This window comes from Homo sapiens, chromosome X (genome assembly GCF_000001405.40).
Source record: "Homo sapiens chromosome X, GRCh38.p14 Primary Assembly".
Classification (NCBI taxonomy): Eukaryota; Metazoa; Chordata; class Mammalia; order Primates; family Hominidae; genus Homo; species Homo sapiens.
This window is the reverse complement of record NC_000023.11, coordinates 37,668,502-37,685,327: the sequence shown is the minus strand read 5'-3', so window position 1 is coordinate 37,685,327 and position 16,826 is coordinate 37,668,502. Positions and strand designations below refer to the sequence as shown.

Below are 16,826 nucleotides of genomic sequence, written 5' to 3'. Positions count from 1 at the left end.
ATGCACCCACCACCAAGTGGGAAAAGATTTCACTTTTCACTGTGCCATGTGAGCATGTCCCTTTGTCTTCCAAATACAGTGGTCTGAAGCATTGCTTCCAGTGGTGAAAAGGCGTCAAAGATCGTCTCTAGGAACCTGTCCTTACCTCCCAGAAAAACTGCCTACAAAATATATTCCTCTGTAACTGTAAGTAATTCAGGGCAAAGATCAGGGCCTAATAAGGAAGTAGTTTTTTTTATTCCAAGACAGACCTCTGCTTATTGGTGTGCCAATACCAAGACTAACACAACTCCTTTTAGCCCATTGAACTTTCCACCATCTTCTTGATATCAGGATGTACTCAGTCCACCCCCGTCCCTCAGACCTCGATCAAGTCACTAAATCTTTCTGAAACTCAGGTTCCATAAAGGGATTAGACTTAAATAATTATAAGATCTCTTCCCCTGTTGAAATTGGGTGATTTCAATCTTCAGGCATCTCTGGCATTTTTCTATTTAGGAAAATAATGTAAACACAAATAGAATATAAAGATTCAAAAGGAATCAAACCAAAAAAGAGGTACAGGGAGAGAATGTGGTGGGCTGTTTTTCTGTTTTTTATGTGGCATGAGAAAATCCATTTATGAGTTAAGGGGCAGATTCAGCCAGCAGCTGAGAGGTAGCAGGCCCTTTCCCTAAAAGGATTACTAATGTCTATTTATAGAACCCAGAAGGCCACCATGTCCTGGGCCAAGATACATACACTGCCACAAATACAGAATCAGCAGCAACACTCCACAGAGTATTTGTGTAATGTTTTACTTGACATCATGGTTAGCTTTAAAGGAAAAATTGGTAGCTTAGAATTATTAATCAGGACACTGAATATTTAGCATTAGATTTTATTTTAAGGCAAAGGATTATCACAGGTTTTACATTAAGTGTACTGTACATAAATGTATTATAAGGAGGGGCAATAAGCCAATAAATAACATCGCTTTAAACACTATAAAGTCCAGTTTATAGCGAATTATTTTCTACAGTACAAAACGAATACAGAAAACACATTTGGAAAGATCACAGTGTTTAGAACATTGTAACAGCAGTTGTAAAAACCATAAAGTGCATCTCTAAGCTTCTGACTCTATCTTGCTTATAGAGATTTCATTATACCATGCAGTGGGCTGTGAGCAAACTCCCACATGAAAGGGAAGCAATATCAACTGACTAGTACTATCCCCTGCAGAACAACCAATAACAAAAGCTAAATTCTGATGAGCATTTGCAAGTTGATCCTTCTTAGTCTGCACACCAGCTAACTTGCTCCAGTGATCACGTCTTTCTGTATTATCATTTGCCATTTTGTCCTTGAAAATAATATATATCTTATAGCTTATGATTGCTAATTTCCCTGTCAGACACCTCAATGGGTTTTGACTAAAGATTAATGTCATGTATTGCATTATACTTTTTCACTAGGACCAAAATACCCATTATTTTTAAAAATATTATGTACATAATAATAGACTTATAGAAAGTGATGTTTTGGTATATTAATATGTAACATACCAGAATACTTGAGAATTTGGTTTTATTATAAAATACAGTAGTATGACATTTTGTGATATAGTAAAATATCTGGCAAAATATTCTACTCTAAATTTAGACCTAATTGCTGCAGATGTCTTTGAAAGAGCCTCAAAGTGCCCCTAAGGAAATATAACAATTAGCAAGAGGTCATATAACCTGTTATGGCAAAGACATTTTTAAAAAGCCTTTCATTTTGTGTCCGAGTCTTTCAAAATTTTACTTGTATACAACAGATAAGTGCTGTTTGATTTAGTGCTAATGGAAATTAGTAGGATTTTAAAGTAGTAACAACCAATCACTATTATTTTTTTTTATAATTTTATGTTTTTAACTCTGCATTTGTGCCAAGGCAAATATATTGCAAATAGTACAATTTTATTAATAATACTAATTCTTTGATCAGTTCCTCAAAATTCAGTAGTACTTTAAATAATAGTAGTTATTCATTCCTAGATACAATTTGAAATAAGCAGTTATACTATATTGACAGAGTATTTCTTTGTACCTCCTCATAAGTAAGAAATTGCCCTAATGTGCAGTTTGTGAAATGTATCATTAGGAAGGTGAGCTTTGTTTTTTTCAATGATACAATTATATTTCTGTAAGTATTGTGATTTATGCCAAAAAAGCTTTTTGGAGCAGTAAATTCTATTCGCTGGGAAATACACATTCCAAAACTAACATGTGGTGCTTGACCCAGTATATATTCACCAGTATATGGCTTTGCAAAGTGCTCCCCCTAATAATTTGATTCTACGAAATCCATTTTTTAATGTTTGTTAATTTAGAGCCATTGGATTAAAGATATTAAAATTCAGACTTCCAAGAAGAGTTCCCCCAGATGTTCAAAGTTGAGAAAGCTGTACCTTTTCAAAGATTGGGCCGTCCTTCCTTAACAGATTCTAAAACCAAACTTCTGCACTTAGAATATTCCATTTCTACTGCTAGAGAGTCTATGTGCAACTCATGTTACATTTTGCATTTTCAAGAACATAGGGATTCTACTGCTGCTACAGTATTCAAAAGACATCTTTAATATTGAAATAGCAAAGTCCTAAAAAACAAAGACAAAACGGATGATCTAAATCAATCCACATGTTTGAATATATCCACATATAAGGGTTACCACATTCAATATGAACCAAATTCAGCAGCAGAATTAATTATATTGGTAACTGCCACTTAAGCATAGATTTTAAAATGAAACTTGTGGGGACAACGTCAGAGACCCCACTAAAACCAAGTTGCAAAAAGATCACTTGTTAAAGATTGACAGTAGTCAATTATAGTCTGTATCTTTAAAACTGACTGCTATGTCACAGCTACTTCATACATATTACTAGAACAGTACACATTAAAGCATGTACATTGTCACCACACACAAAATATAAAAATATTGGGAGGCCGAGGCGGGCGGATCACGAGGTCAGGAGATCGAGACCATCCCGGCTAAAACGGTGAAACCCCGTCTCTACTAAAAATACAAAAAATTAGCCGGGCGTAGTGGCGGGCGCCTGTAGTCCCAGCTACTTGGGAGGCTGAGGCAGGAGAATGGCGTGAACCCGGGAGGCGGAGCTTGCAGCGAGCCGAGATCCCGCCACTGCACTCCAGCCTGGGCGACAGAGCGAGACTCCGTCTCAAAAAAAAAAAAAAATAAAAAAATAAAAATAAAAATAAAACATCAGCAAGAATTGCATTACTCTACTTAAGAAACTGTATGTATTTGGTGTTTACACATATACACATTCACATATCCCCCACCACACCCCCACATCTTTTTAGAGTGTTCACCGTTTCTGAAAGAATAAGAGGAAGGTATATATTTTGGTACTTTCTGAAGATCTATGTCCAAGTGCAAGACTTTAAAGCCATCTGTTGGTTTCAATTTAGGAGGTGGTTGTTCTAGAACAAAAGAGATATTGTGGCTCTCGGGTGATTCTGAATACAAAGATAAATAGAAATGGGCCCCAAAAGGAGTGGAGAAAGAGAGGAAAACACAAAGTTTTTCTTATGGAGAGACACTTGTGGCAATTTCTAGGATTCTTATAGACACAGAACTCAACAACTAAACAACGTCAAACAGGTTTTTTTACCCAGGAGAGTTTACTCAATCTTTAATATGTTAATGTACCATGTAATCTTCAAAAGGGGGTAAAATAATAAAACTTTCCTAACTTATTTAATCACAGATTAAATTTTTCCACAGGGCAGCTCATGGTACTGCTGGGCTGCATTTGGGGAAATATTGCAGCTCTCGTGTAATAGGCAGGTTCTGTTTACATTTTCTCCCATAACAACGAAGGAAGGTAGGAAGACTTTATCAATACTAGGAAACAGGAATGGGACTGTCCAATACAATAGCCAACTCACATGCAGCTCTTATACACTTGAAATGTGGCTACTTCGAGACTGGAGATGTATAGTAAGTATAAAATACACACTAGAGTTTGAAGACTCAGTACAAAAATGTAAAATAGCTCATTCATGTTTTTATATTGATTGCATATTGAAATGCTATCATTTTGGATATATAAGGCTAAGTCAAATACATTATTAAAATTAATTTCATCTTTTTCTTTTACCTTTTTGGTAGCTACTAGAAAATTTGAAAATTGCATATGTGGTTTGCATTCGTGGCTCACAGCACAATTCTAGCAGACACTGCTGCTGTATTTGTGAAACTCATGGCTGTTATCTTCTACAGATGGTTACTAATGGCTTCAACCTAGCAGAAGTTTTAATAAGCTTAGTCAAGCTTAATAAATAAGTTTAATAAACTTAATCAACTTAGCTTGAACATATCCTTTCACTGAGATCTATCTAATAGCTAAATGTTGGCTTTTGATTCATATGCGATATTGACTCTCCTTAAGTCAGTCTCATTCTTTTTCACTCAACTACTTACACACACACACACACACACTCGCACACAGAGGGGTAAACTTTTTCCTACAGGGACTAAGAAAAACCAAAAGGGAAGCAAACAGGAAGACTTTGCAAACTGTTTTCATAACCCTGGGTAGTTAAGCCTTATGTATCTTTACCCCCTTCTCCCTCTTCTTCCTCAGTATTGGACAGGGAGAAGAAAGACAAAAAAAGAGAGAGGATAGTCTGTTCTTTTAATCCACATAACTCACCAAACCCTGCAAGAACAAAAACATGGGTGATTCGGTTATTTTAATTAATTTTTTCAAATTCAGTTCAGAGGGGGTAATTAGCAGGTGCACAAAGGCAAAAGAAGATTCTGGGAATTCTGCAGATAAGTGACTTTGCCATTTGTGGAAGAGTCTAGATAAAAATGACAAGTTTCAATGATTCAAGAAAACAAAAACAAAACAAAACAAAAAACTCTAAAGGCATCATCCACCAGGCCTCGATTCATTGGTACTTTCAATTAAAGAAACAAGAAGAGAGATCACACCTCCAGTATGAGATTTATGATAATGGATGAGGGTAAAACATTTAATGTAGCATCAACTTTTTTTGTAACATTAAAAATAAAATTACCAGGTTTATTTATGGAGGGGAAGCAGGATAAATGCCACCACCACCCTATTCTCATGAATAGCCACACTCACTTGTGATCTGACTACTAGGCCCAACTTCTGTTGCTGCTGACCTTGAGGTTGTCTGCCCTTCTGTCCAAAGGGTAATCCAGCTGTACTGAGGCTGGAACTCTTAGCTAAGAACAGACATGGATGGAAGAGATAAGGAGAAAATCTGCCCTCCCAGGCGAAAGGAGGTCACATGATAGAGCAGATACAGGAAAAACATATCACAATGAACTATAATATTTAAAGAGGAGAAGAAGGAGAAGTTGGTGAATCAGGGGTGGTCCTGGGTTAGAGGTCCCAGAAAGCAATAAAACTCATGGGTAAGAATGGACTGGTTCTTTATAGTGTTAAACACGCATCCACAACTCACTTTGAGATACTGAGCTTCAGCAAGCTTCCCCTCACCCACCCCTTTGCCTGCCTTCTCATTTGCTTTCCTTGCCAAATTTATACCAATATTACACGGGCTCGGCAAATTTGAGGCTCAGTCATTTAGCTATTAATTTGGGACAGTGCTGAATAAATAGCCCAGGTCCCCAAAGGAAGGCCTAATATGCAATTGAGAGTATATTTTGATCACTATATGTCACGTGGTTCTGAGACTTGAATTAAAGTGCAGATCAAACTCACCCCAGAATTACTTTATTTTCCAGTTCATTTTCTCTCTACAGACCTGGCTTGCCTGCTCCTTTTCTTGAGTTATTGGCACTGTAATCCTTTGTTCTCAGCAAGCAAAATAAATATTTGCATTAAAAGGAGCTCCTGAGCTAAATCAGTCTATTCCCATGTAGTAAGTCTTGGTGAATCAGAACCTTCTGAGGCAAAGTGCTGTGCTCAGGACTGGTGGTAGAATATAAAAAAATGTACACTTGGTTTTTATCCATCTAGTGACCCAGACCTCAAGCACTACATCCACATATAGAGATTCTATTTGGTTGAAATTCTTATTGGAAGTCATAACTGGGCATGATTTTTCTATGTATATAGTGGGTAAAATATAACATCCCTTTTAAATATATAAAGGATCTGCACATTAAAAAACTCACTTATATCCATTTTATCATTGACAACTTTTATAACAACCCTGTGAAGTAGACAGGGTGATTATTATTATTACTACAGTGGCCCCTAAAAGTGGCAGAGCAAGACTTTGAGATTTCCAGCACAGGGCTCTTTGCACCACTAATGGTTTTCCTTTTAATTGTGTGTTCATTTAACATGGCTAGAAATCACAAACCCATTTGTTTCATTGAAGTTACTGAGGTTCGCTCTTTCAAATTTGAAACAATTTCAGTATTACCATGATTAAAATCTTAATATGTCAAAAAAGTTAAAGAAATAAGCTGCCACTGGAAGAGATGCAATTTAGCACAGACCAAGAAAATGACTGTTTCTCAAGTTATCAGTAAGCAAATACTGTTATCTTAATAGCATAGTCAACTACCTAAAGAAGCACAGGGAAATATACTCTAGCAAACCCCTGTTCTACTCAGTTATCAAGTTACAAGTGGAAGTAAAAGACTACAAACTGATGACTGAAACAGGCTTGGGCAAAATAAAAATGTATAATATTCTGGGGTGTGTGTGGAAGAGATGGTATGTAATTACATTAATGAAACAAAATACACAGAGTTGTAATGGTTTCCAAAATGTCTTGCTATCAAAGCATAATGCAGTCTCCCCATTATTGAGAGACTATTTCAATGTATCCTCAAACATTTCCACTATTACCTTCAGGGTTTATAATTGCTCATGCTGTATATAGTAAATAATATTAAAGTTATACTAGTGGTGGTGAAAATGCCCCTGTAGCCTTTAAGAGACAACAGCCTTAAGTACTACATTAAAAATGCTACCACAGAGAAGGGGGGCAAGTTGGATAATTAAATAAGAAGTAACATGCCACACTTTCCTACAGCAAAATGTAAGAATCGTTTTCCCCTTCTTGGAAAAATAATATAGAAGAGGACCTTCCAAAATCTATAATTCTTTCAGGAAAATGAAAAGTTTCATCAACATGTTTAAGGGCTAAACAAGCCTATTGTTGTTTCTAATTTACCGAAATGTCATTTCATAAAGACAATACTCAAACATGGTCTTTGCTTAGATTTGACACACAAATCAAAATGGTTAGCACATCATCATCAGACCTATCAGAACTTAAAAGGGCAGATAGGCCTGAAAGTGGTCTTGTTTTTCTGAAGTTACTAGAAATGGAACTGATATGATAATGAACTAGAGTATCAGTTCTGAGTGCTTTAGGTTTCAGGTCTCAAGGATGAATTGTGAAAGGAACAGCAAATGGAAACAGAAGGTAGCTTTGAGGGAAAGTTTATTTTGTTCACTATTGTATCCCCAGATTCTAGTCTAGAATACTGAATAAATAAACTTAGAAAGTGAAACCCTGGGTTTGAATCCTGGTTTTGTCCTTTTCTAGCTGTAAGACTTTGGAGCATTTACCAAACACATCTTGAGGGGTTCTTGGACGATAAAAACTGCATGTGTTCCATAAAGCTCTGTATATAGGATGGTTATTATATTCAGCCTATATGAAAGAACTTCTGGACCCAATGTGGGGAGTCATCTGAAAGCTGCTATTTATGTGGTATCACCCCAAACTGAGCATTTTCACTGATGAACAACTGAGGCCAATTTGATATGGTTGTATCTGAGGATGTAAAAATGAAACAGGAAGCTGAAAAGATGTATGCATTTCAAAATCATTTTGTCCTACTTTATTGCAATGAGTGCAAACACACACAGTCATAAAATACACAAAGATAGTTGTTACCTTTCTTTGGTCAGATTCTTTGAGAATGTTATGAATGCTAGAGATCCTTGTCCCCTCAAAATGAGCACACACACACACAAACAAACTGGTCCATACACATACACACACCAACATACTTGTAGGTTTGCTTTTTAGGCAACAGAGCATTCCCTAACTCGTTCCAAAGTCTATGATTCAAGTTAAGAATTACTGAAATAAAGAATAAGTATTTGGATTTACATGGGAATAGATATGGAATACACACCATACACACACACACACACACACACACACACATAATATATCCAAATATTTAATGACTATTTAAATAAGTCTTATACAGTACACAATTTCCTACTCAATCTGATATATGCAATTGCCACTGACAAAATTCTAGGAAAAGGATCAACTTATGCTCTGCATAATGAAGTGACAGATGCTCCTACAGTGTTCTGCAAACCACTATTTACTTGAAGCAGTTTCACAACTTCTATGTGTTTACAGCAGGGTTGAATTTGATATGACAACTTGGCTCAATGAGTATTACAGCCAATTTCTAGTGGACCCTGTATCTTGGAAGGTAAGGTAACCAACCACAGAATTCACTCATCTCTTCATTTAATAGTATAAAATGGAGCAAAATTATTTCCACAATCACTGGTGACTTCCTCAGCCTGTCTGCCTGTCCCAAACAAAGGCAGAAATGACACGTCTTTGTAGTGGTTCCCCTGATCTTTGAAATTAGTGATATTTACCAAGAGCATATTTTATAGTTCAGCTAATAGCTCCATCAAGATTATGTACATAAAGGCATTTTTAAAATTACTAACAATAGACAATACACAGTTCACACTTCCTATGGAGAAAAACACTTTACAGCAACACTTGCTATAGTATAAGTTTACTAGCTTATAAATTTTGCTATTCTAATTGAGCTTTGAGGAAAAAAAAGGAACCAGGAAAAGAGATGTTCTAGGGCCTAAGGAAACTTCAAATTTTAGTATCTGAACTACGCTATGATATGATTTCTTTAAATTGCCCAGGGTAATGAAAAAAATAGAGATTCATATGCAAATATCTTTGCTCAGTAAAAACCATAAATTTCAATAAGTATAAGCACAGGACAACCAAGAGTTTATTTTTATACTTCAGCAACCTGACAATCCATTCCTCATAGCAGTTTTCAGCTGGGCAATTATTTTAATTTTTTATTGTCTTTATTTCTGAATTTAAGGGTAGAGGGCACACACAAATGGTCAAATTCTCATTCAGATTGCAAAGGTATTAGTGTATTTTTTGTCATAGTCTACACTTGCAGTTTGGTTTTCTATGTCATAACTGAAAAACAGATCATTTCTCTTTCCCCTTTTCCTATGATCCCTTGTTTCACATCTATTCCCTGACACATTAAATCTCTGCAGTTTTAAGATGAATTGTGGTATCTTTATTTTGCAGATCCTTTCTCAAATCTGGCATCATGTTGCCTTCACCTGCCTGATTCCTTCCTTCTGATGGCAATGTTAAGGCTCATGGTTGCGATACCATTGAATGTGGCTTATGTGGAAACTGCCTCGGCTTGGCTCAGGGGATCTCTGCAGGGCCACAGTGGAAGATAGAGCCTTCTAAACAAAGACGCTGAAGAGTGGGAATTCAGCCTGATTGGGCTGCAGCAGGTCAATCAGAAAGCACACTGTCCCAGAGAAGCCTTCATACAAGCTGTATATACTTTCAAGGACCCGAGAACCGGCCTTGAATTCCTCGGTAAATAAGAATTGAGCAAACCTAAGAGAAGAAGAAAATATGAACAGTTTAACATGAGTGTTTCCATATTATGGACCTTGGGTTGCTTCTTCCTCTTCTATTAAAGTTTTAGCATAATTTTCTTTCCAGAATTATATAATTAAGTATTTTAAGAAACACATTTTCTCTGTTAAAGAAGAAGATCCATTATATAACTGTGTATGTTTCACAACAAATTATGCTGGCAAGCAAATCCAACTATTCTTAGAGTTTGCAAAGCAAAGCAGTTTGGAATTTTCAAGGATCTCATTCTTTCTGTCATCCAGTAATTAAAGTAAAAAAAGACAGACAAATTGCTCTACTTTTATTTATCTTGAAAAGAAGCAAAGTGATACGTGACTGTTCCTTTAAAAAAGTAAATATGCTGTGTTTCTGCAGACATTACCTCTAAGCTGGGTTTTTGTTTATATATGACAAAAAGCAGAGACTGTAAAAATAAATGGGCAAGATTTTATACAATCTGTGCTGTGAGCAAACAAGGGAATAAGATGAATAGGAAAAGGCAGCAACCTTTCACAATGATAACATCATATAGCAAACGCAGCTACAAGACAGATTATTTTTGAGACATTCGCCTTAAATTAAATCACAGGCCTCTAAATTCCCTATGAAAGACCTTTTTTCTTTTACCCATATTTGCCACAAATATTATTCAGATTATTTTTAACAAGTAACATTTTTACAGTAGTTTACAGCTTCCAAAGTGCCATTACCTACATCATCTTTTTTTACTGACTTGCTCTACTCATTCCCATCAAGAACACAAATAATCACCAATTCAGAGGCTGGAGTTCACAGCTTGGTAAGGCCCAAGCGCTGATACTGTCATAAATTTAGGTTACTGCTACTACATAGGGGGTCTTACAAAGGGTAATTATTTATTTGATTTTTTTAGGGCTCTTAGAATTACATACGGCAACTTAAAATAAATTAGCAGAAAACAGATTGTAATTATATTTGTTACAATTTTTCTATAACTGTTTTCCTGAATATGAAACAATTTTAAAATGGAATTTAAAATTTTAAACAGTAGACTATTAATGCATCGTAAGAGTTACTTCTAAATTTGTAATAATATAGCCAGCATCATGATATAGCTTCAGTTGGGCTCCTCAGAAAAAAAGTTTTCAAGTGTATAAAATAAGCCACACAGGATTCCAAAGGAAAATAATTATATTAAAACACAACAAAAATTTTAAAGCCAAATTTGTGATATAATAACATATGTATTATTTGCTAACACATTAAATTCCAAGGTACAATAGTGGATTTAGTAACTGCTAGCATTTCTGCATATTGTAAAATTAAGATTTTACAATATCTGCAACAAGAGTAATATGACATGAGAATATCTATGAATTCTATTGTTTGCAAAGTCACAGCTACTAATACTTCTGTGACTTACTACCTACATTCAGAAAAGAAGGAAATGTTACATTTAAGTTTGAGACACAATCTCTTTGTCAAGCAAACTCACAAATCCTAGATTAAGAACCCCTGGTATAGTAGAAAGAGCAAGGGCTTTGGAAGTGAGATACACAGATTCCATAATTTCATGTTGTATGACCTTTGGCAAATTTCTCAATTTGACTTTAAAATGGTGAAGTTGCAGAACTGGATAGTGTTATATGTAAAGATAAAGGGTATTATATATCAGGTTCTGAGAATATAGCAAGCATTCAATAAATAGAAAATATTACTTTTTACATAAACATATAATAAAAGAAGATTTATAAAACAAAAAGATGATTTGTAAAATCATAGTATAAAAGAAACCCACAATGTTGCTAGCTCTTCTTCTGACCTTTCCCCCATGCACTCATTTATTTGTTGCATTATTACATGTTATTAAAGTATATATGATTTGGTATCCTGTATTTTTTTCACTTAAAAATATGCTAAATATTTTTCTATGCTTTTCAAAATAATTTCTAAATGATACATAGCAACTTAAAATAGTACCAGCAATGTCTGAGGGTAGCAGTTTCATTGTATTCTGACCTGTATTTTGTGTTATTATTTGTGAAAAATGTTTCAAAAATCTATCCAGTGGTGCAAAATTAAACAAATTTTTTTTTCTAAAACGTTCTCAGTCAAAATAGAAGTCAGCATGCTAATTACAGGACTAAAAAGAATAGAAGACACAATAAAATATGAAAACATTTCATATCAAAACCCATTGATTATGACCAAAACTGAATGCAGAAGAAAATTCATAGATCTGTGAGTTACCATTATTATTAATAAAATGATGGAATGCTTTCTAATTCAGCATGTATAAACTCTAGAACATAACAAAATAAAAGGAAGTAAAAGTGGAAAACAAAAGAGAAAAACAAAAAAAATTAATAAGCAAAACCAGGAGCCAGTTCCTTCAAAGGATTAACAAGACAGAAAAAACACTGGTGCAGCTCACCAGGAAGGAAAAGCATTAGAAATCACAAAGGGCACATAGCCACAGATATAGGAAATTAAAAATATTATGGAACTATATGATTAGAACTCTATGTCAAATATTTGAAAATTCATAAGAACTAGATGGTCTTATAGAAATATGTGCACTACCAAAAAGAAGAGGTAGAAAACCCGAGTGATTGAATAAACATAAAAGAAAATTAAGAAGTTGTCAAATATTTTTATGCAGCCATAAAATCCAACTGTATGTTAAAAAATAATAGGTGACAACCAAGTAATATTCATTTTAGGGAGGTACATATTTTTTAACATGCAATTGTTAAAGTATGCCCCTAGCCAACAGACAAAATGGGCTCCCCATGGCAAACTGAGGTGCTCCAAGTTAAAACAGAACCAGGCAGCTATGGCTGGGTGAGGGAGTGATCATGTACTCTGTGTTCTGAGAAAGACGTTGTAAAAGCATCACAGGACCTTTCTCCAAACCAGTTCCCGTTGTGAGTGCCAAGATATGCCAGCCCTCCACCCGCCATTTGGAAGAAACAGGTGACAAAGACTTCTGGTTTTGAGCTTGGAAAGTAACTAATCAGATCACACCTAAGCCAAACAATCAGAGTCACCTGCCATGGCCAATCAGGGCTCAGCTGCACTGACCAATCGGAACTGAGATTCAATCCTTCATTTGCATAAAAAGACCTGACCCTGGGCAGGCAACTTTGCTATAAAACCCAGCGCTGAAAGGCTGCTTCATTTTACACCGCAGGCCGTGTATCCTCTGTTTGCAAACTGTTCACTGGAATAGTGTCTTTCCTACACATTCCGTTTCAGAGAACTTTTGTTCACACAATGCCCAAACAATACTCAGATATTACCTCCACATTTCCAGTCTTCTACCTGTTAGTGAGAAATGTAAGTTGTCTAAAGAGACCTGGACCCTAAATCTTATAACCAAGACTCTGTAAGCTAGGACTGGCCTGCCAGAAAATACTTAATGGGTACAAAGTTCATTGAGTGATGGATACCCTAAAGCCCTGAATTCACCACTATGTAATCTATCCAAATAACAAAATTAAACTTGAATCCCATACATTTACACAAATTTTAAAAAATTAAAATATTAAAAATTACAAAAAAGAAAATAGAGGGGTTGTTCTGATCCCTTTTAATACGCTTTATAGGGAATAAATGAATTTCATTCATTTCTGATGAAATTTAGCCCAAAGGTGAAATCCCACTAGCCTAGATGATATCCAAAATTACTTTCTTTTTCTATATTTGGGAAACAACAGGTCTGGCTTCCACCTAAAGAGATTAAGAAACCATGAATCAATTATATTAACAGATTTCCTAAACAACAGAGCTTCAAATCAAAGACTTACATAAGTTAGTATTTGCCCTTCAGTGCATTCATGTAAATATCACAAAAAATAATTTATGTTTTCTAAACATTAAATATTAGATAAGTTGACTTGGGAGGGCCTTTCTGAGAAAATGACTTTTGAGTGAAAGTCTGACTGAAATGGGGGAGCTAGGAGATATACGTAGAAAGTGAGCATTACAGGTGGAGGGAACCAAAACTTCCAAGGTCTTGAGGTGGAGTGTACCTGGCATCCTAATGGAATTACAAGGAAGCCACAGTGGTAGACAGAACCAGGAGGAAGAAGAGTAGGGAATGAGATTAGAGAGGTAATGGGAGGCTAGATCATGTAGGACCTTTCATTCGTAGGAAAGACTGGCTTTTACTCTGAATCATATGGGAAGCCGTTGGATTACACTGAACAGAGAAGTGTTATAATCTAACACTTATAATCTAATGTTTATAATGATAAACATTATAAGAAGTGAATATAAAAGACCACGGTAAAACATAGGAGCATTCCTAGTAAAATCAGCATAAAAGCAAGGGTGTTTACTATCCCTCTTATTATTGAACATTGTTATAGGGTTGCATTGTTATAGAGAAGAACCATGTAGTGGAAAAAAAATACCATGCACATGAGAAAGGAAGTAACAGAATCATAGTTATTTGCAGATATGTGTGTATCTATTTAGAAAACCCAATAGAATCAATAAAAAACTAATAGAAACAGTAATGGAGTTCATTAAGGCAGCTATATTATTATGATGTTTATGAAAAGAAAAATACTTATAAGATACAATCTATATTTATATGAAAAATTACATATTAGAATTGATAAACTTCAGTGATGTGTGTTTTAAAAGCTTCCATAAATACCAGTAATAAATGATATGAAAATATAATGAAGGAAAAGAGTCCACTCACAATAAACCTAGAAACATAAAATACCCAGGAATAAAATTAACAAAAAACATACAAGATCTTCTTCATAAGATCAAAACTTTACCAATGACATTTGTTTAAACTTAAATAAATGGAAAGGTATACCATGTTTCTGGATGGAAAAATTCAATATTCTAAAGATGCTGATTCTCATTAAGCAAACTGTAAATTCAATGAAATTCCAATCAAATTTCTGTGAGCTTTTTTAAAAATATGACAAATTGACTCTAAAATACAATTAAAAGAATAAATAAGAGAATGATAGGTGGAATATGGGGAAAATATGGAACTCATATATTTATATAAATTCAGTTTATAAAAAAATGGAATTTCAAATCATGGGGGTAACTGGTCAACAGATGCTATTAGAATTTTTTTTAATAAACAAAAATAAATACCTATCTGAGACCATTTAAAAAGTAATTTCTAGCAGAATCAAAAATTTTAATGTTAAAATCATAAAATTATTACAAGCCCATGTAAATTAATAGTTTTCTAATCCTGAAGTGGGAAGGGTCTTTTTAAGCATAACAGAAAATCTAGAAATTTTAAAGAAAAGATTGAAAACTTTGACAAGAAAAATACTTAAAACTTTGGTATGACAAAGGCTACAAACAAAATTAAAAGAGAAATGGCAAAGCAGGAAGGTATTTACAGCATACATTGACAAAGAGTTACAATTCTGAATAGAAGCATCACAACAGGAAAAAAATGGGCAAAGGATAAAGACAGGCTATTTATAGACCAAGAAATACCTATGGATCTAATGACTTCAATTCTAAAATTTCTGACAAGTGCTTTCACAAGTGCACAGAAATGTATGTATTGGATATTTGGGGAAATTTTGTGTTATTAAAGATTACACAAATGTCAAGTGTCCATTATTTAAGGATTGGTTAATTATCATACATGCATAGTGAATAACTATATAGCCATTTTAAAAAATGAGATAGATTCATACAAAATGAAATAAAGAATGTCCCTTAAAAATTGTTCATTTAAAATTATAAGCTGCAAACATAGCGGGGAGGTGGTGGGCTCACACCTGTAATCCCAGCACTTTGGAAGGCCAAGGCAGGAGGATAGCTTCAGGCCAGGTGTTCAATGCCAGCCTGGGCAACATAGCAAGATCCTGTTTCTGCATACAAAAAATTAATAGTTGTTGTTTTAGTCCATTCTTGCACTGCTATAAAGAAATACCTGAGACTGGGTAATTCACAAAGAAAAGAGGTTTAATTGGCTCATAGTTCTGCAGGCTGTACAGGAATCATAGCAGCTTCTGCTTCTGGGGAGGCCTCAGGAAGCTTCCAATCATGGTAGGAAGTGAAGGAGAAGCAGACACATCTTACATGGCCAGAGCAGGAGCAAGAGGGGAGGGGGAAGTGCTATGCACTTTTAAACAACAAGATCTCTTGAGAACTCTATCACTATACAGTACCAAGAGGGGATGGTGCCAAACCATTCATGAGAACTCTGTCCCCAGGATCCAATCACCTCCTACTTGGCCCCACCTCCAACACTGGGGATTACAATTCGACATGAGATTTGGTAGGGACACAGATCCAAACCATATCAGCCACATATGGTGGCATGAACCTGTAGCCCTAGCTACTCAGGAGGCTGAGCTGTGCCCACGAGTTGCAGGCTACAGTGAGCCATAAATCACACCACTGCACTCCAGCCTGAGTGAGACCCTGTCTCAAATAAATAAATAAATAAATAAAATTATAAGCTACAAACAGTATGTATAGAACTATTATACATATATAGTAGTAGGAGCTCATTAAAATATACATGTACACATATACATTTATGTGAACATACATTTACACATAAAGAAAAGTCTGGAATTATAAAACTCAAATTTATACTAATAACAATGAACATTTACATTGCAGTTACTATATGCCAAGCATTATTTCTAAATGATTTTTCATACATTAACTTGTTTAAACTACCAAACATCCCTATGAGGTAGGCACTATTTTCCATATTTTATGAATGAAGAAATGGAGAATCACTTGTTAAAATGAGCTAAGTGACTTGTTAAAGGTTGTGTGACCTTGTTAAAGATCACTTAACAGTCACTTAGCTCATTTTAATAAGTGATTTGTTAAATGTCACACAATCAATTTGATAATTATCAGCTGTACACTTTCAGTGGGAATCTTCACAACAGTACAGGGGCTACTCTAGGACCCCCTCCCACCTCTGCCAAGTGACAGCTCAGATTCATGGGAACCAGACTACATGGGTGGGTATGAGAGAACACTCTGGCTTAGAAGACCTAAGTGCCACAAAGGAAAACAATATCTTTTGTAACCATTCATGGTTATGGACAGCTTCTAAGTCCCTTCAAAATGAATGCCACTTTCATGCCACTCTGCATTCAGGGAAGCCCCTACTTGTGCTTTCTATCA

At 35.2% G+C, this 16,826-nt stretch overlaps 1 protein-coding gene across 3 annotated transcripts in view; it reads right to left on the bottom strand.

Annotated features, from left to right (window-relative positions):
• LANCL3 (LanC like family member 3) overlaps positions 865–16,826 on the bottom strand; it is a 112,803-nt gene continuing 96,841 nt past the window's right edge. For all 3 annotated transcript variants that reach the window (NM_198511.3, NM_001170331.2, XM_011543904.3), the window contains one exon: positions 865–9,674. Coding sequence is in view for 2 of the 3 variants with exons in the window: in NM_001170331.2 (NP_001163802.1) it covers positions 9,515–9,674 (160 nt within the window). In the remaining variant the exon portion in view is untranslated. The remainder of the gene's footprint in view (positions 9,675–16,826) is intronic.